At 35.5% G+C, this 19,704-nt stretch overlaps 4 protein-coding genes across 4 annotated transcripts; 2 read left to right on the forward strand and 2 right to left on the reverse strand.

The window, feature by feature from the left end:
• Positions 1-6,274: 6,274 nt before the first annotated feature.
• On the reverse strand, positions 6,275-6,567 carry KRTAP22-2 (keratin associated protein 22-2). Its single transcript, NM_001164434.1, has one exon. The coding sequence runs from the start codon at positions 6,542-6,544 to the stop codon at positions 6,407-6,409; it is 138 nt and encodes a 45-aa protein (NP_001157906.1). The 5' UTR covers positions 6,545-6,567; the 3' UTR covers positions 6,275-6,406.
• A 2,042-nt stretch (positions 6,568-8,609) lies between these two features.
• Positions 8,610-9,225, forward strand: KRTAP6-3 (keratin associated protein 6-3). Its single transcript, NM_001433434.1, has one exon. It carries the CDS (start codon positions 8,637-8,639, stop codon positions 8,946-8,948), a length of 312 nt encoding a protein of 103 aa, NP_001420363.1. The 5' UTR covers positions 8,610-8,636; the 3' UTR covers positions 8,949-9,225.
• A 5,534-nt stretch (positions 9,226-14,759) lies between these two features.
• On the reverse strand, positions 14,760-15,072 carry KRTAP6-2 (keratin associated protein 6-2). The gene has a single exon (NM_181604.2). It carries the CDS (start codon positions 15,042-15,044, stop codon positions 14,856-14,858), a length of 189 nt encoding a protein of 62 aa, NP_853635.1. The 5' UTR covers positions 15,045-15,072; the 3' UTR covers positions 14,760-14,855.
• A 2,184-nt stretch (positions 15,073-17,256) lies between these two features.
• Positions 17,257-17,552, forward strand: KRTAP22-1 (keratin associated protein 22-1). The gene has a single exon (NM_181620.2). It carries the CDS (start codon positions 17,291-17,293, stop codon positions 17,435-17,437), a length of 147 nt encoding a protein of 48 aa, NP_853651.1. The 5' UTR covers positions 17,257-17,290; the 3' UTR covers positions 17,438-17,552.
• The last annotated feature ends 2,152 nt before the right edge of the window (positions 17,553-19,704 follow it).

Here is a 19,704-nt window from a genome sequence, read left to right on the forward strand (position 1 = left end):
AGGTTGAGTGTCCCAGAGCTGGCAAGGAAGATCTTGCTGTACCATCCCATGGCAGAAGGCAGAAGGGCGAGAGGGCATGTGAGAGTGAAGAAGGGCACCAAACTCATCCTTTTATCTGGAGTCCACTCCCACACTAACAGCATTCATTCACCAATGAGCCCCCATGACCTAACAAACTCTTAAAGGTCCCACCTCGCAATAATGTTGCATTGATGATTCAGTTTCTAATATATGGACTTAAGGGGACACATTCAAATCATGGCACCTACATTTCAGGGAGGGAAAACCCAGTGACAGCACAATGATCTTACTGTGTTGAGGACAAAGATGTCAAAGTCTAAAGAGTGTCTGTACATTTAAAGTAAGAACAGAAAAAAGGACTACACAAAGAAAGAAATCTAGTTATTTACAGAGTGGTCCTCACGAGCAAGCTTTGTTGAACACTAAGACACAAAGTGAATAGCGAAACTCCCTGAGAAGGAGAAAAGAACAGCTGAGCATGTGCAAGCCAAATAATCTCCAGAACTCATGGAGGACTGGGAGATACATTTGAGTTCTTCGAATCGGAGTGGAGAGACTTTATTGAAAAGCAGACCCCCAAAAAAGGGCACCTCACTAGTTAGGTCAACTGGCATTGCAGTGAAGGTTACATTGGATGCACCAAGTTGTGAAACTATCAAAGAATACAAAAGTAACTACCAGCAAAACCGACATCCACACTAAAGAAAGACAACAAAATCTACGTTCTAAACAACATGTCACTAACGTTGGCATGTATTAAATATTATTAGGCAAGCAAAGAAACAGAAAAGAGTTGTGAATGTTTGGAAACAAAATAAGTCAGTAAAACAAAACCAGAAATAACAGAGATGATAGAATGAGTATATTGAGACCTTAAAAGAAGTGTCATAAATATGCTGAAGGATGTAAAGGAATTCATGAAAATGAGAAGATAAGTGAAAGATAAAAAAATTTTAAATCTACATCTCAAAAATACATGTCATACTGACGTAAAAATTCAAAGGATGATATTAAAATCGTATTTAACACTGCAGAAGGAAAGATCAGTGAATTTGAAAATTGAGCAATAGAGATTACCAAAACTTACATACAGAGAGAAAAAATGAACTTAACAAAAATAACGATCAGATCCTCAGTTATCTGTGGAACAATATTGACTAGTGGACTATGTATTTATACATTGTATAAACATGTACAGGACAGAGAAACAGGACAATTTACATATGTACATATATGTTTATTTATGTATAGTTGAGAATGAGGAAGAGAGATTGATTGTACGAACTGTCTCTCATACAGCTGTGGAGGCTCGGAAGTCCCATCGCCTGCCATCTGTAAGCTGGACAGTCAGAAAAATCCAGTGGCAAGATTTAGTCCAAGTCTAAACGTTTGAGAACTGGGGTGAGAGGGCGCGGTGTAAGTCTATGTCTGAGTCCAAAACTCTGAGAACCAGGAGCACTCATGTCCAAGCACAGAAGATAGATGTCTCAGCTTAATCGGAGAGTGAATGTGCCTTTCTTTTGCTATTTTATTCTATTTAGTCCCTGAACAGACTGATTTATGTCCACCTGCGTTGAGACATAGATCCATTGAGAGGGATCTTCTTTACTCAGTCTACTGATTCAAATGCTAATCTCTTCTGGAAAACCTTCATCAACACACCCAAAATAACATTTTACCAGTAATCTGAGTATCCCTTAACCCAATCAACTTGACACACAAAATGAAACATTGTGTACATTTAGAAGAGGGGGGATCAGAAAAAGTACTTGAAAAATAAATGGCTGAAATATTTCCCAAAAAACACCTATAATTCTGAAGAGCAAAGAAGCTGCACAGGAACCAAGTAACAAGAACACACACACACAACACACACACACACGGAGATTATCATAATCAATATACAGGTAAAATGAAAACATTTTATAAAATGTCTAATTTCTTGAATAATCAACCTTAATCAAAAAGAATAATCATAATTTATGGGGTTTATGACATATAAAGGTAAAATTTATAACAACGATAGCAAAGGGTGATGGCAAGTAAGCATACTGCTACAAGGTTAATATATCAAGCATGAAATGGCACAGTGTGTTAATTAAGATGCATACCATAGTTCTTAAAGCAGACATTACTGTAATAAATTTAGGCATATCTAATAAATAGTGGCAAAAACAAAATGCTAAAATATCAATTAATCCAAATAAAAACAGGAAAAAGAAGAAAAAGGAAAAAACAGATGAACCATAAACTGAGAAAATAATCTATACTTATTTGTTGGCTCATCTGTTCTTTCCCTTTTCCCCCTTATTTAAAGCTTGTATAACCAAATAATCAGAAGAAAACCAATTCAATAGAAAAGGGCAAAAGATTTAAACAAGTGTTTCACAAAAGATGATATGTGGATGGCAAATGTGCATATGAAATGATGCACAACATTTTGAGTCTTCGAATTAAAGCCAAAATGAAATAACACTAAACACTTTATGAAATGACTGAAATGCAAAAGAATGACAATACCAAGTGATGGTGAGAATGTGGAGGAATTAGAATGCTCATGCATTGATTAAGGAATGCAAATTGTACATCCTCTGAACAAAAGTTTAGCAAATAAAGTCAAGCATGCTTTTACCATATGACCCACGCCCCCAAAAAGCATATGTCCATCATATTCATATTAACTTCAACCTTTAAAAAAAGTCAGAAACAGGTAAATGGATAAATAAATTATTTAATTCATTCAATGGGATGCTTCTCAATCATAATAACAAAAGGAGTACAGACACACACCAAAATAAGAATAAATCATAGAAGTACTCTGCATTATATCATCGTTATGTCCTTTTAGAAACGACCAAAGTAATGTATCGTGGTACAAATCATATCAGTGGCTACTTGGGGACTGGTTTAGGGTAAGGATTTACTTCTAAGATGTATCAGAGAAAGTTTGGGATTATGGAAAATTTTGATATCTTCATTGTGGTGGTGGTGACAGTTATACAGTTATATATTTGTCTATGTTCAGAAAAATCTGATCTTAGAGTGCATTTTATTTTATATAAACCATATTCCAATAAAGTTTATTTTCAAATTTCTGGTATTTTCCTAAATGAATAAGCCATACATATACATTTATAGACATATATACGGTGTATAATGTGTCTATATAATGTGTTATGTATGTATATTATATATATATGTGTTCATATATAATATTTATTCTTTTGTTAATGCTCCTCTGGAAGGTCTTCCTAAAATGTTTCTTTAAAATAGGTACAATTGCCAGGCATGGTGGCTTGTGCCTGTAATCACAGCTACTCAGGAGTCAGAGGCAGGAGGATCTCCAGAGACTAAAAGTTAGATGTTGTGGTGAGTTATGATTGCATCACAGCATTCAGCCTGGGCAACAGCGTGAGAACCTGTTTCAAAATAAATAAATAACTAAATAATAAATAAAATAGCTAAAATTATTGAAAATTGGCACCACGTGTTTATAAAATTCTATATCCTAAAAATACAATAAAACACTCATTTTCCTCTATCTGTGCTTTTATATATTATCAGTTATTTTAATTGTTAACCAGTCAGTAGAAAAAATTTTGTACTGTGATTCAATATCAGTATATTTCATTACTAGATAGAGTAAAAACCTTTGTATGTAATTGTTGGTTGTTCACATCTTTTCCTTTTGTAAATTGCATATATTATAGAGATTATCTTTTTTTAACTTTTATGCTCGGGGGTACAAATGCAGGTTTGCTGCATAGGTAGATTTGTGTCATGAGGATTTGTAGTACAGTTATTTTATCACCCAGATATTAAGCCTAGTACCCATTAGTTATTCTTCCTGGTCCTCTTTCTTCTCCCACCTTCTACCCTCCAAAAGGTCCCAGTGTGTGTTGTTCCCTTTTTTAAAATAGCTGATACATAATAATTAACTTTTTACAATCCAGGATTTTATTTTAGTCTTGTGTAACTGACTTTTGCAATGGAGGAAAGAGTTAATATTTTTATAAAATAAAGTCAATCAATAACTTAGAGTGATTGGATTTTACATTTTCAGTAGGCAGGTCACTCCTAGAATTTTAGCAATGTTAATATTTATTTTCTTATGTTTAGATATTTATTACCCCTGAAAATCATGGTTGTTACTGGAAGAAAAAAATATTTTTTCACACACACACACAAAAATACATAAACACAAACACTTTCTCAAAATGCTGGACAGTTCTTACATTATGTACCAAAATGTCCATCTTTTTTCCCCCTGGAATTTCTGTATTAATTAATTTTCTGTCCTATGATAGTGCCGTAGTTTTAAATCTCTCATCTCATTTCACTGTTTCAGTTTTTAATTCATTCCTAATATGTATATAGTAAAGTGCACTAATCCTACATATACAACTTAATGGATTTTTATATATGTATACACTCATATAACCATTAGCTAGATCAAAATACAAAACATTTCCTCCACCCAGAAGATTCCACTGTGCCCTTTCTTATCCAATACTCTCCTGCCCAGAGGTACCACTATTCTCACTTTTATTACTGATTAGTTTGTTCTTTTTTTGAACTTCCCATAACTAAATAAATAACAACATATGATGAGTATATTTTGTACCGATATGCATGTTGTTTCATTTTTGATACATAATTTTTTATTGATTTTTAAATCTGGTGTTCCAAACTGCCATAATGAAAGCATTGATACCCATTTGCACAATAAGTTAATAATTATGAAATACTATACAAAATATAGCAACCTCCGTCATTCTAGAGCACTAACTTGTATTGAGAATCAGAACTGTGTACAGGACTAAACACAAATTTTCAATCCTGCACAATCTCACCAAGAATCTTTCAGCTTTACCTTTCTAAAAGTTGATTTAATTTGGCATGACTGCAATAGAAATTAAAATGTTTAACCTTTAAATTTGTTAATCCATTAAATGGGATAATTTATGCAAATAATGAGCAGAGCCCCAACCTATATCTTAGTAAAAATGGAATCACTTCCCTCTTATTTTCATTTTTCACCAGAGGAATGATCACCAACTTCTCTGCCCAGTCACTGGTTGGGCAAGTTGGGTTGGAACTGCTAATGGATTGACTTTTTCACTCCAGGGAGGAAGGAATAGACAGCAATACAGTATTTTCACTTCCGTTTGCTTTCAGAAAGCCTGCACTTGGGGGCTGGGAGATACTTCACTAGTCTCATATTGATCTATAAAGTGTGATCCCTACGTTGATCGTTGGTAGTTCTGCTACATTTAAGAGTAGCAAATGAATTAATATGTACTATTATCTGTTTATATTTTATTCTGATTGCTTTATCATAATTAATGACTAATCATTAATAATATTTAATAAGTGGATGGAATAAACATGATAAATTATCACAGGGAGTTTCATAGAAAGTCAGCTCTCATAATTAAGACCTATCACCAGAATGCATTTGGGCCAGAAATGTGGTTTGCAAGATGTTATTCTATCCAAGTCACCACTTTAAAAAATAGTAACAGGAATTCTGCTAGAAGATGATCAGAGTTAGAAAAACTCAAAAGAGTCACTTAGATCTCTAAATGAGGTGATCTTTGCTGTGGAAACACAGGATTATCAGGCATACCAACCAGCTTCATATAGAGGATTCTTATCTATAAGAGTGAGTGAAAAGAGGTCAGAGTACTCAATGCAGGGCTGGAGTTGTATCAGTACAGAAGCACATGTTTAAATGTAGACTATTAGGAGAGAGAAAATTGCAGTAGAAAATAGCTTGGTGGGTAATAGTGCTACTGGTTTTGCCAATTACCTAGGTCAAACATTGAATTTTTCTAAAATGAAACTTGCATTAGATCAATATAGAGAACAGTATTCTTGAAACTGAACTTGAAATTACTTTTATACAAACATTTTTGGAAAAACATCAGTCATGAGTTGCCTGTTTTGTCACATCACTGACTAAAATAGCCACAGGTAGCAATTTCACTCTCTCTTTCTATTTCTCCCTTTCTCTCTCTCTCTCTCTTTCACACACACACACACACACACACACACACACAAATACACAAATGATAAAGAGAAATGAATATATATGATAAGCAATACATATTGTGAAAGTGATTATATTTATTAAAATGCAAATTTATAAGTTTTCCTGCATGGAAATTGTTAATATTATAACAGACATAAACACATAAAACTAACAAAATATCAAAGGATTTTCCCACTAACTGGTAGGAAATTCCACTAATCCAATGCAAATATGACCTGTGGTAATCAATAATTAGAGTTAGTTAAAATTGGAGAGACAATAACGAATCCATAAATAACCCTGTTGATGCAATTAGTGCATCACAAGAAAATGGCTCAAAGTGATCAGCAATCAGAATTTCTTTCTAGGAGCCAATAGGAATCTTCCATAGGAGCACGGAAAGTTGCAGGCATATCCAGAGTTACCATATTCAGAGCCATAGCTGCAACCATAGTCCAGGCTACCATAATAGTTGTGGTAGTAGCACATGGTGTCAGAAGATGGAGTTCAATTGAGGCAGATAGTAGTTTCTGAAATTTGACTCTCCTGATTTGTACAAATTATTTTATCCAACCTGAGTTATATGTGAAGGAAACCACAATCTACATTGGACTCATTCTCACAACTAATTTGCATTAAGATTAAAAAAACCCTCAAGAATCTCTTAGCCATATGTCCAGGAAAATATTAATATTGCTATGTGTCAGGATGCCAACAAGTAAAATCATGAGCCTTAAGGAGATATTCTCTTAATTTTGTGGCTTTTGCTTACTTAAAATCCCAATTTAAACTTGATGATTAGCTTCTCTGTGATCACATTAAGCTTATATTTCCTGCCTCTTGAAACATTTCTTTTTTCTTTTTCAATATCCTCCTCTACCTCCATAAATGCAGTCCTTAAACCACAGAGTGGCCAGGAATGGTTAGGGAAGGTTGGCTATGCAGTGAGGAAGCCGATGAAAATGTCTTTATTTACTTGCAAATATGCCTGTATGTTTTGACTAATTTATTTCTTAATCAATGGGACTAAAAATTTTCTTCCAAGTTCATATGTAGCTTATGTTCTTGGAGTAGTAAAGTTTTTTCTCTTCCATCATCCTCACTTTGGTTATATTATTAGTTGTGGTGTTCTCTTTGCATCTGAGAAAGCAATTAGAAACAATTACCCACCGTATCTCAAAATTCATGTTTTCCTCTCCTGACACATAATATTCACATATTTTACCTTCTTTTTATATTTAATGAATTTGCTTATTTTAAAATATATTAATTCCAAATTTCCAAAAGTATTGTAAAAATACTTTTCATCTTCTAGCAGAATTCCTGTTACTATTTTTTAAAGTGGTGACTTGGATAGAATAACATCAGCAAACCACATTTCTGGCCCAAATGCATTCTGGTGATAGCCTTAATTATGAGAGCTGACTTTCTATGAAGCTCCCTGTGATAATTTGTCACGTTTATTCCATCCACTTATTAAATATTATTAATGAATTATTAGTCATTTATTATGATAAAGCAATTAGAATAAAATATAAACAAATAATAGTACATATTAATTCATTTGCTACTCTTAAATGTAGCAGAACTACCAATGATCAACCTAGGGATCATACTTTGTAGATCAATGTGAGACTGGCAAAGTATCATATCAATAAGAGGCAAGTAGAACATTTAGTCAGAATTTCGGAACTGCACACAGTAGTTCATAAACTTTAGTGGATATATACCACCACCTTAACAATCGGAAAAGGCATGGATTCTCAAACCAGAAAAAAATCACCATGATAAATTCCTCCACTGGTTTGCATATGATCCAAAAGGATCCCAGAGTACATGAATTTATCCCCAGTTACCCCAAGCATAGAACAAAGATTGTGATTATTCTACACAGAATTTGAGTATAGAAAGTTGCATCATGTCATTCATTTGGTTATTTTTTCACTAATTCATCAAATCTTTATTAAGAATCTGCTGTATCAGGCACCGTTATAAGAAATGCAGATTGAGCAGATGAACAAAATAGACAAAGTCTCTACTTTCTGCAGGTTACAATGAGACAGAAGGGATAGAGAGACTGATTTTAAAAATGAATGAAATAGATTCTAACAGTGAAGAATCCTGTGAGAATAATAAAACTCAGTGAGTTACATTAAGTTCAGTTACTGGAGGTAGACTAATTAATATAAGGTGGCCATTAAAAGTCTCTCTGGGAAGTGAACATTTCAATTGAAATAGAAAATGAGTCAAATATTCCTGGTATTATTTTAAGAAAGAGAAATCAGTAAGTGCAGAGGCCAGGGCCTTATTGTGAGAAGAAACCTGCTGCATTTTAAAAGACAAAAAGCCAGCAGAGTTTGAGCATTATAGATAAATGGAGGAGAGTAGCAGGATATGAAATCAGAGAGATACGTAAGGGCCAGAACTTCTCAGCACAATGAAAGGCCTTTAGAGATATTTTTGCAGGGGCACGCTATGTTCTGATTCACTGAGGCATATAAAAGGCCCTCTGCGGAGAAGTGTCCATACTGAAGTCACCTACACTCCTTCCTACCCAAGGATGACCTCAACAACCAACACCATGTGTGGCAGCTACTACAGAAACTACAATGGTGGCCATGGCTATGGGTGCTGTGGCTACGGAGGCCTGGGCTGTGGTTATGGCGGCTGTGGCTATGGGTGCTGTGGCTACGGAGGCCTGGGCTTTGGCTATGGAGGCCTGGACTGTGGCTATGGAGGCCTGGGCTGTGGCTATGGCTCCTTCTGTGGCTGTGGCTACAGAGGCCTGGACTGTGGCTATGGCTGTGGCTATGGCTATGTCTCCCACTCCTTCTGTGGCTGTGGCTATAGGTGCGGCTCTGGCTATGGCTCCAGCTTTGGCTACTACTATTGAGGACACCATGGGAGACTCTCACCCTCTATCCTGTGACATTGCAATTCACCAATTCTGAAGCCCACATGCTCTGAGCCTTTCCCTTGATTGATGATATCCTGCAGTGGAAGTCTAATATGATCTGTTGTTGATCTACCATCTAACCCAAAAATACCCTGAGTTTCCATCATGAAGTGGGATAAGGTGAAGTTCACCTGTCACTTCTCCTTTTATCAGGATGATGGTGTCACAGTGACTCCTTTGATGACTTTCATGCTGTAGTTTGTTTCTCTGCTGACCTAATAAACACATTTAATCCACAAGAGAAATCTTGGTGTTTGTATCTTATTTATTGTCCAAAATTTTTTTCTTTGATTTTTTGCTTTTATCGTTATTTTTTTCAACTCTTATTTTAGGTTCAAGGGTTATATGTGTATATTTGTTACATGGGTGAATTGCATGCCACTGAGGTAATATGTGAAAGGTAGTTTTTCAACCCTTACCACCCCCCACCATCCCCACTCCAAGAGTCCCAGTGTCTATTGCTTTCATGTTTATATACATGTGCACTCAATTTTTAGCTCCTACTTATAAGTGAAAACCTGTGGTATTTGATTTTCTGTTCCTGCATTAATGTGCTTAGGATAATCACCTCCAGCTGCATCCATGGTGCTGCAAAGAATATGATTTCCACTCTTTGTTGTGGCTACATAGTATTCCATGGTGCACATGAAACACATTATCTTTTGTCAACTATTGTTAGACATCTGGGTTGATTCCATGTCTTTGCTCTTGTGAATAGCACAGCGATGAACAGACAAGTGCATGTTTCTTTTTGGTAGAACAATTTTTTTTTCTTTGGGTATATACCCAGTAATGGGATTGCTGGGTCAAATGGTAGTTCTGCTTTAAGTTCTTTGAGAAATCTCCAGATGCTTTCCAGAGTGACTGGAATAATTTAATATTCTCATCACCAGTGTATAAGCATTCTCTTTTCTCCACAACCTCACCAACACGTTTTAGTTTTTGACTTTTTTAATAGTAACTATTTTGACTGGTCACTAATGTTATGCATTAACATATATATTTGTTATATATAACAAATATATGACAAATATATATGTAACACATATATAATTTATATATGTATTTGTTGTATATAACAAATATATAAAAATATATTTGTTGGCTGATTTTATAGTCTTTTGAGAAGTGCCTGCTCATGCCTTTTGCCCATGTTTAAAGGGGTTATTTGGTTTTTGCTTGTTGATTTGCTTAGGATCCCTATGGATTCTGGATATTAGACTTTTGTTGGATGCAGAGTTTGTAAATAATTCCTCCCATTCTGTAGCTATATGTTTACTCTGTAGACAGTTTCTTTTGCTGTGCAGAAGCACTTTAGTTTAATTAGGTCCACTTCTGTTTTTGTTGCAATTGCTTTTGAGAACTTAGCCAAAAATTATTTGCCAAAGCCTATGTCCAGAATCATATTTCCTAGGTTTTCTTCTAGGATTTTTATAGTTTTAGGTCTCACATTTAGATCTTTAACCCATCTTGAGTTAATTTTTGTATATGGAGGAATGTAGGTCACCAATTTAAATTTTCTGCATGTGGTTAGTCAGTTATCCCATCACCATTTATTGAATAGGAAGTCCTTTCCCCATTGCTTGGTCATTATCAACTTTGTCGAAGTTTAGATGGTTGTAGGTGTGTGGCTTTATTTCTGTGTTGTCTATCCTATTACATTGGTCTATGCATCAATTTTTATACCAGTATCATGCTGTTTTGGTTACTATATCCTTCCAGCATAGTTTGAAGTTGGGTAGTGTGATGCCTCTAGCTTGGTTATTTTTCCTTAGAAAAGAAAGGAAAGGCTCTTCTTTGATTCCACATAAATTTTAGAGTAGATTTTCCTTATTCTGTGAAAAATGATTTTAGTAGTTTTATAGAAGTGACATTGAGTCTGTAGATTGCTTTTGGCAGTATGGACGTATTAATGATACTGATTCTTCCCATACAAGAGCATGCAATGTTTTTTCATTTGTTTGTATCACTTATTATTTCTTTCAGCAATATTTTGCGAGATCTTTCACCTTCTTGATTAAATGTGTTCCCAGATATTTTATTTTGTAGGTTGTAAATCTGTTTGTCCTACACGATGGGTCATAATAATTGGATAAAAGCAGCGTTTTCAGGTATACACTGAAAGTTTCAGGGTCTCACAATGAAGCAATCAAGGTGTTGGTCAGGTCTGCAGTTTTATTTGAGGTTCTCCTGAGGAAGGACCCACTTCCGAGCGCATGTACTTGTTGGCTGAATTCAGTTCCTTGTGGTTGAATAATTGCAGGTCTCAGCCCTGACTGTTGGCTGGGGGTGTTTGCATGCTGTCTGCTGGAGAACCCAAGAGGCTTCCTTAGTTCCCTACAATGTGGGTTGCTAAATATGGTCATTTGCTTTCTCAAATCAAAGAATAGAGGGAGAGAGAGATTCTAACAAGATGGATGCTGCAATCTTTTGTGGCAATAACATACAATCATATATATATACATGTATCTGCATATTCAGTCACCTTTACTATATGCTATTTGGTTGAACCAAGTCACAGGCCTTGCTCACACTCAAGGACAGGAGATCACATGAGGGCATTGAACATCAATGAATAGAAACCATGGAGCCACCTTAGTAGTCTGCCCACCACTGAAATAAATGTTGTACATCCTTCATCATAGAAATTATGATGGTAGACTTTCCTGATAAATATGAATCTGGGGCATTTTTACAAGACATTTCTTTAATGATTTTCTGTATTTTTTCTAAGGAAATTAGTCCCTTTGTCAATTTCTAAATCCAGAGTTATCAGTTTTGGTAATATGCATCCCCCTAGATTTTTTTTTACAACTAGGTTTTCAAATTTATGTTCATGAAGATCTGTGAAGTATTCTCGTATAATTTTTAAAGTTTCTTCTGTTTCAGTATTTGTTTCTTGCTTTTGTATGTGCTTTTTCTCTTTTTTCTTAAGAACATTAGCAAGTGGTTTATAAATGTTAATTATTTCAAATAACAGTGTTTGGAATCATCTTAAAGTGTATTTTTGTTTTCAAATTTCCATGGATTTTTAATTTTTACTATTATCTTACTTGAAAATCTGTTAATGCAGTAGATATTATGTTACATGTTCTTATCACAAAACAAAGCAATAATAATAGAGAGTGTGGGAGGAAACTTTTGGTCGTCATGGATATGTTTATAACATAGATTGAGATGATGCCTTCACAGATGTATATTTATCTCCAAACTCACCATATGGTATATATTAAGTACATACAGCTTATTATATGTCAATAATACTTCAATAAAGTGGTTTAAAGACTCTTAGTATAATACATCTAAAAACTATTGTAATATTTAAAAATAAATTATAGTATTTGCCATAAGTCTACATATAGTATAAAATGGATATTAATCCATTAAATAAAAATAATAATCTTGAGAGTATTTCTTCTTGACATATTGACAAGATTGGATGAGAAAAAATGCCAATAGATTAGAATTTTATATAAGAAAGATAAACACCTAGGGAGAAGATTGAAGGAATTTGAAGTAGAACATCACCAACGTGTAACCAGGATCCGTCACAACAAACATGTACAGAAAGGCCTGTTACATGGTATTGGAAATGACTACCTTCACTTGCTCACACTAGATGATCACCCTTGAAAGTGATGGGTATTGCTAAACAGGCAAAATAAAATTAGAAGTATTAACACTTTTTCTTTACAATTGTTTGTATGCAAAAGATTTAGCATATCTACGCAAAAGTTCTGATGGAACAAATCTTTATCCTAAGTAGTAGATCATTCTTTTTAAGGGTAAAACCATATGAAATAAGTAGCTATGAAAATCAAAGGATCAGTCTAGGCACTCACAATGAGCCTACTTTTCAAAAATAGTACTGTTGCAAAAGGAAGAAAACCTCTTCAACACATTTTTTTCAAATTCTAAAATGTATAATATTTGAGAGCCCTGAAATGCATAGAGCTACAGCAACTATATAAGCAATTATTAAAATCTAAAAAGAGGCAATAGGTATTTGTCATGATAAAGTTAATTTAAAGAAAAAAATGCTGAAGGGACAAAAGTTAATAAGAGATGAGATGGGGAAAAGGGATTGAGAAATTTTCCTAGAATTTGGAGAAAAGGCATAAAAAGATTGTGCCAAAAAGTAAGAGATGTGCATGAAAGATTATAAACGTCTAATGTGTGAGCTGAAATTTCGTAAATAGAGTGGTCAGTATAAATTTAAAAAGCAGAGAAAAGTGGAATGGAAGATTTTCGTTGGGTAAAGAGGTAAAAAACAAAATTGTTCTTCAGATAATTTTAATTTAAGTCAATAACATTAAATAACAGTAATAACTAAGCCTATCCCGGGAGATAACTTTGCATTTAGTGGTTAAACAATCCCTGCAATTATCTAGAGTCAAAGAAAATAAATACTTTAGATGAATCTACAAAGAGACAACAAACAGGTGGGTATGAAATATCTCTTTTGCCACACCTGCCAATGAGAAAGTTACTCCATTCTCTTTACTTCTATCTATTCAGCTCTAAAATGGGGATAAGTTTTTTTCTCTTTTTTTTTTTTTTTTTTTTTTTTTTTTTTTTAGATAGAGTCTCACTCTGTCACCCAGGCTGGAGTGCAGTGGCGCGATCTCAGCTCACTGAAACCTCCCCCTACCAGGTTCACGCCATTCTCCTGTAGCTAGGACTACAGGGGCCCGCCACCAAGCCCGGCTAATTTTTTTTTATATTTTTAGTAGAGATGGGGTTTCACTGTGTTAGCCAGGATGGTCTTGATCTCCTGACCTTGTGATCTGCCCGCCTCGGCCTCCCAAAGTGCTGGGATTACAGGCATGAGCCACCATGACCGGCCAATTTTTTTTTTCTTTTTCTTGAAAAAGATGTCACCCAGGCTGGAGTGCAGTGGCACAATCTCGGCTCACTGCAACCTCTGCCTCCCGGGTTTAAGCGATTCTCCCACCTCACCCTCCCAAGTAGCTGGGATTACAGGTGTGCACCACCATGGCCCCTGGCTGGTTTTTTTGTATTTTTAATAGAGACGGGGTTTCACCATATTGGCCAGGCTGGTCTTGAACTCCTGACCTCAAATGATCCACCTGTCTCAGCTTCCCAAAGTGGTGGGATTACAGGAAAATGGGGAAAATTTTAACACATCATGCATTCATTCTGAGGCTCATTTGAGATGATGTACGTTAAAAACTTGGCACAGTGATTGCTCTATGCTAAACGGCTAATAAATGCTACTTAATTATGGTTATTTAGATTATAAATTATTTATGTAGAGTTGTGATATGAACTACATAGAACAAGTTTGACAGTAAATGATTTTCATACGCAAATAATCAACCCATAAATGATGCACGGTTTTCTGCTCTGTTCATGCTCGGTTTTCTATTCTATTGAAGCAGTGATAACATGGGTTACGTTGAGACATTGTTAGGTTAACATAAATTGGGAAGAAAGCTAAAAAGATAAATACTGGATACTAATGAAAAGAAAATCAGGATGGTAATTCCAGATTGAAAAAGTGTATTAGGAAAACAGAAAATAAGTTCCTGCATGAAAATCAAAAAGCAAGATCTATAACAGCATCATCTTGATGAGAGACCACAGGAGTTCATAGGATGAATTTTACATTATTTTAATTTTCATGCATTAAATGCAGAAAAGGAAGTTGAAAATACTAGATCCAGAGGGTACTGGGGGTGGGAGGGTCAGTCTTCAGATAAATCACATCAGAAACTTTTAATATAAGATAATCTTCATCCAGCCCCGAGCTCAGAGCATACGGGGTTCAGAATTGGTGAATCCCGATGTCACAGGATAGAGGATGAGTCTCCCACGGTGTCCTCAATAGTAGTAGCCAGAGCCGCATCCATAGCCACAGCCACAGAAGAAGCGGGAGCCGTAGCCATGACCATAGCCACAGCAGGAGCTATAGCCACAGCGCAGGCTTCCATAGCCATAGCCTAGGCCTTCGTATCCACAGCACCCATAGCCATGGTCGCCGTAGTAGTTTCCGTAGTAGCTGCCGCACATCGTGATGGTTGTGGAGGTTGTCCTTGGGTAGGAAGGAGTGTAGGTGACTTCAGTATGGATACTTCCTGTAGAAGTCCTTTTATATGCCTCAGGATGGGAATGATCCAGCAGAGGTAGCATACCACTGGCTAATTTTTTGACTAATATAATTAGTTTGTTTTTTCTCAATTGTAAGATAATGCTGCAGAGGTATTAAGGAGGCTTGTTTTGTTTGGCCTTGCAATTTGGGCTCCCCTTATCTGATTGAGGGCTCTGATGAAAGGAGACCTCACACACTCACACTCATATAATCCTGCCTCAAACTAGACTTTCTATAGCCATCCTTTACATCAAGAAAGACTTTTGTTAGTTACACTCTTATTTGCTCTAGGCCCCAATTAATTGTACTCTTTTGCACAACATTCAGCAAACAATAACTTTGCCCTTTTAGTATTTCTGCTCTCTTTATCCAAATAATACTTTTTTCAGGGATTTAGTGTCTTTTCTATACTAAAGCCATGATGTTGATAATAATTCAACTAATTAAAAATTCTAGAAAACCAGATCTGAGAAAAATTTGTTGTATTTTTCTACTTATACCAGTGAGTCTAATTTTCCTTTATGTTCAACCTCTACGGAAGAACAAGAAAATGTAAGTTATTTTCTTGATTTATAAAAGAATTAATAAGTGACCAAGTCAATGAAATGGAACAATAGTTTTATATTCTCTTTTAACTTCTTATCTTAAAATAATCTCAGGCATAGAGATAGTTGTCAAAATAGTATAGAAAATTTCCATATATCCATCATTCAACATCCCTAATATTAATATCTTTCATAACCATAATCCACTTATCACACCAAAGAAATTAACTGTGTACAGTATTCTTAACTAAACTGCAGACTTTATTTTACCATTTTTCTGTTATTATTAACTTATTTTATTTTAAGTTCTAGGACCATGGTTCATTGTAGCACTATTCACATATTTATTTTAATGTTCTTTTTTTCTGTTCTTGGATCCAATTCACATTGCATTTGGTTTTTATACTTCTTAGTCACCTCCAATTGCTCATGGTTCATTCGTCTTTTCTTGGCTTTTATGACCTTACAATTTTAGAGAGCCAGATATTTTGTGGAATATTCCCCAATTGAATCTGTCTAAGGTTTCCTCATATGTAGATTGAGGTTATACATTTGGGAAGAGATGTAACTCTTGTCTTGTGCCATCTCAGGGAGTCATGATGCCAATAAATCTTTGAGTAATTCTGGAATTGTTTTAAAATTCAGATTTTTAATAGAAGTCCTTTTCTTACTATATACCCAGAATCAACGAAGTCAAAAATCAAAGTCTTTGCCACGGTTTAGAATCATATATAAAATGATAGCTACATGTGAAGTATAAACCAAAGAGAATGATATTGCTCCACAAAAAGTGATGAAACACCTTATCACTCAACATTTTACAAGTGAATGCTGCCACCATGACTTCTCTTACACGCTTATCATCCTTCCTTATCACTTTGGAGCTACACTCTTATTCCCAAGTCTGCATATATGTATTTAGGCTGAAGGATATTATTGGGTGAAAGTAGGATTTTTAAAAAATGGAAGCCATCACGTCCATAACCCCAGGCTTTGGGAGGCCGAGGCGGGCGGATCTTGAGGTCAGGAGATCAAGACCATCCTGGCCAACATGGCGAAACCCCATCTCTACTAAAAATACAAAAATTAGCTGGGCGTGGTGGCACGCACCAGCTATTCATAAGGCTGAGGCAGAGAATCCAGGAGAATCACTTGAAACCAGGAGGTGGAGGTTGCAGTGAGATTGTGCCACTGCACTCCAGCCAGGCAACAGAGCTAGTCTCTGTCTCACAACAACAACAACAACAACAACAACAAGTGGAAGCCATGTGGGTTACTCTTGGTTGCTGGTAATGTAGTTTAAATTTGACATCTGAAATAAACGAGTCATCAAAATAGGAGATGGATCTCTTATTAAAGGTACATTATTTCATTATATTCAACATTCCTGAGAAACAGCAAAGTTGTCTTGGATGTATTGGTTACAAGGAATATTTTAGATGGTTTCAATGCTAATTAGTGTGGAATGTGAATCTAACAGTGCCTGTGATTTGTCCCACATACCATTCATGTGGCATTTAAGGCCCTTATTATAAGCTTAAAACTTTAAACTTAAAACTCTATAAACTTAAAACTCTAGAATCTGATCCTGCTATACAACTGAGCCTACCTTTCTTGAAACCATGAGCTTTGATAACAACTACCATGGTGGCCAGGGCTATGCCAAAGGAGGCCTGGGCTGCAGCTATGGCTGTGGTCTTAGCGGCTATGGCTATGCCTGCTACTGCCCATGGTGTTATGAAAGATCTTGGTTTTCTGGCTGCTTCTGAGAAATTAGAGATTGCTGATCTGTTTAGGCCATTCTCTTATGAGCTATGTTTTCTTCCCGTGTTTTTTTCTGTTCAAAGAGTGACAACTAAAATTTAGCCCACATTGCCAAGTCAGAATTTATTTGATCAATTAGCTGGAATTTCCAACAATTTAATCAAACGAAAAAAGAACCTTTGATGTTGTGTTACTAGTATATGATTAAGTACAAATAATGTTAAGCATTTTCATTTGGGAAAAAGTCTAAATTTATTTTTCTTCAAAGGTAATTTATTTTGCAAACCTACAGCATTTTCCTACCTATATTTATTTATCTAGAGTACCTATATTATTTGTGATTGTGTGTGTGTGTTCAGGAGCACATATGTAAGGTTGCTGACCCATTGGAAACTTACAGTTGATGATGTGGATGTGTTAGGTCTGACCAATAGTACTTTGATAAAATGTATTCTCATGGGCAGAGCCAAGTGGTACTATAATTTACTTTGATCTATCAAAGCCTCATCTTCAGTGTATCCAATGTTTGACTAAAATCATTGGCAAAAATAGTACCTCCCTTCTCATCACTTTATTCTGTTGCACATACATTACATTTCTTGATACTTAGTTGCATTTTTGGCTCTAGATAGCTGTAACTTTTTCTCTAAATCCTATATTATGGCTGTTTCTTTTAACTCTGAAAAAATATACTCTTGAACTCATCCTATGCCTGGTGGCTGCATAGACAGCACTTCCAAGTGTCAGACCCATGTGGCCACAGAGAGTCCATCAAATTTAAGTATGTTTCTGTGAACCTTTTATCAAGGTCAATATCTGCTACCTCAGGTAATACTTTCTTCTTGAAGACACAAGTCTGACCCAAAATACAAGCTGAAAAATATAGACTTCAGTTTGCCAGCCGTGCTCAAGTTAAGCAAAGCTGTTCTTTATTCACTCTACTTATTATTTATCAGTCGACATTGATAAAAATATAAAGCAAAAATATCTTCTAATCTGTTAGTGACTAATGTTAACATTTGGAGTTTCTACAACTAATAAAATATTCATACAAAATTACTTTGTTAATGGCTATTATAGTATGAAGTTGGCTAAACTCTTAACTAGCTTCCAAATACATGATTTTTTAAAACATCTAGATGAAACAATAATAAAGAATTTTTTAAAATTCTTCATCAATTAAAGACAGACAACATATAGAGCCGTATCACTCTGACATCTCCAAGTATTGACAGGCAGTGAAACTGAAGGGAGACTGAAGAAAGCATCTTTGTCACAGCCTTGGCTTTTGTCCTGCCATAGTGGGCAGGAATCTTAGGAGTCAGATTCCCAGAATGTCCTATTTTAGCATGGTCAAAAAAGCCAGAGTAAGAACTCTGTAAAACCTGACTTTGGACTCAATAACCCATCATACTCAGAAAACTGCTCATCAAATATCAGGCCCTCATCAGACTTAGTATATACTTTAGAAAAATTAAAATATTTGGTAATTATCCTAAGGCCACACAGCAAATAAAGACACATTTATTCAAGAAAATCTACTAAATATAGGGTTAGTGAGAGACTTCATTCACTTGTTCACAATCAGCTCTTTTCGTACTTCCTCCTCCAGCTCACCATGACAGACCCACCGCTCTGGGTAGTGAGACCAATTTATAGTGCTTCTTCTATCCCCATCTGAAGGGCTACAGTATCTCTCCTCTGTGTGCAGGTGATTAGCATATCTCATGTCCAGTTCTGTGTGGCAGTGGCTAAAGTCCAAGTGAATCTGACCAAGAGGTATGTGTCTCCATTCCTCTACCTTTTTCCCACTTGTAGTGCCAGGGATCTACCAAAGGCATGACAGGCCAGTTATCTTAAGCTTCTATCACTCTCTCAACCACCCTGATCATTCATAAGAGAGATTTTTCGTGACAGATATTGCAAGCTTAAAAAACTAGAAGCTACTGCCCAAACCCAGAGAGTGCTAGTAATGATGTTATGTCTCTATGAGAAAATAAGCAAGTAGTTGTTCCTATTCCCAGTTCTGGAGTAGTTGCTTCAATATTTTGCACAGACAAAAGGCAAGCCATAAGAACATAAAGATCTGAATCTTTTCTCAAGTGAACTAGTTGATTTAGAAGAGTGTGTAGAAGATTTAACTTAAGTTTAGACTTTGAAACAATGGCGATTTTGGTGATAAGTAATTAAGAGAAAACTGGTTTCACCATGTGATATGGTTTGGCTGTGTTCCCACCCAAATATTACCTTGAATTGTAGCTCTCATAATTTC

This window comes from Homo sapiens, chromosome 21, assembly GCF_000001405.40.
Source record: "Homo sapiens chromosome 21, GRCh38.p14 Primary Assembly".
Lineage (NCBI taxonomy): Eukaryota > Metazoa > Chordata > Mammalia > Primates > Hominidae > Homo > Homo sapiens.

Excerpts from the sequence above, each read along its gene's own strand:
- KRTAP22-2 (NM_001164434.1), bottom strand. The coding sequence starts at position 6,544 with ATGTGCTACTACCACAACTATTATGGTAGCCTGGACTATGGTTGCAGC.
- KRTAP6-3 (NM_001433434.1), top strand. The coding sequence starts at position 8,637 with ATGTGTGGCAGCTACTACAGAAACTACAATGGTGGCCATGGCTATGGG.
- KRTAP6-2 (NM_181604.2), bottom strand. The coding sequence starts at position 15,044 with ATGTGCGGCAGCTACTACGGAAACTACTACGGCGACCATGGCTATGGG.
- KRTAP22-1 (NM_181620.2), top strand. The coding sequence starts at position 17,291 with ATGAGCTTTGATAACAACTACCATGGTGGCCAGGGCTATGCCAAAGGA.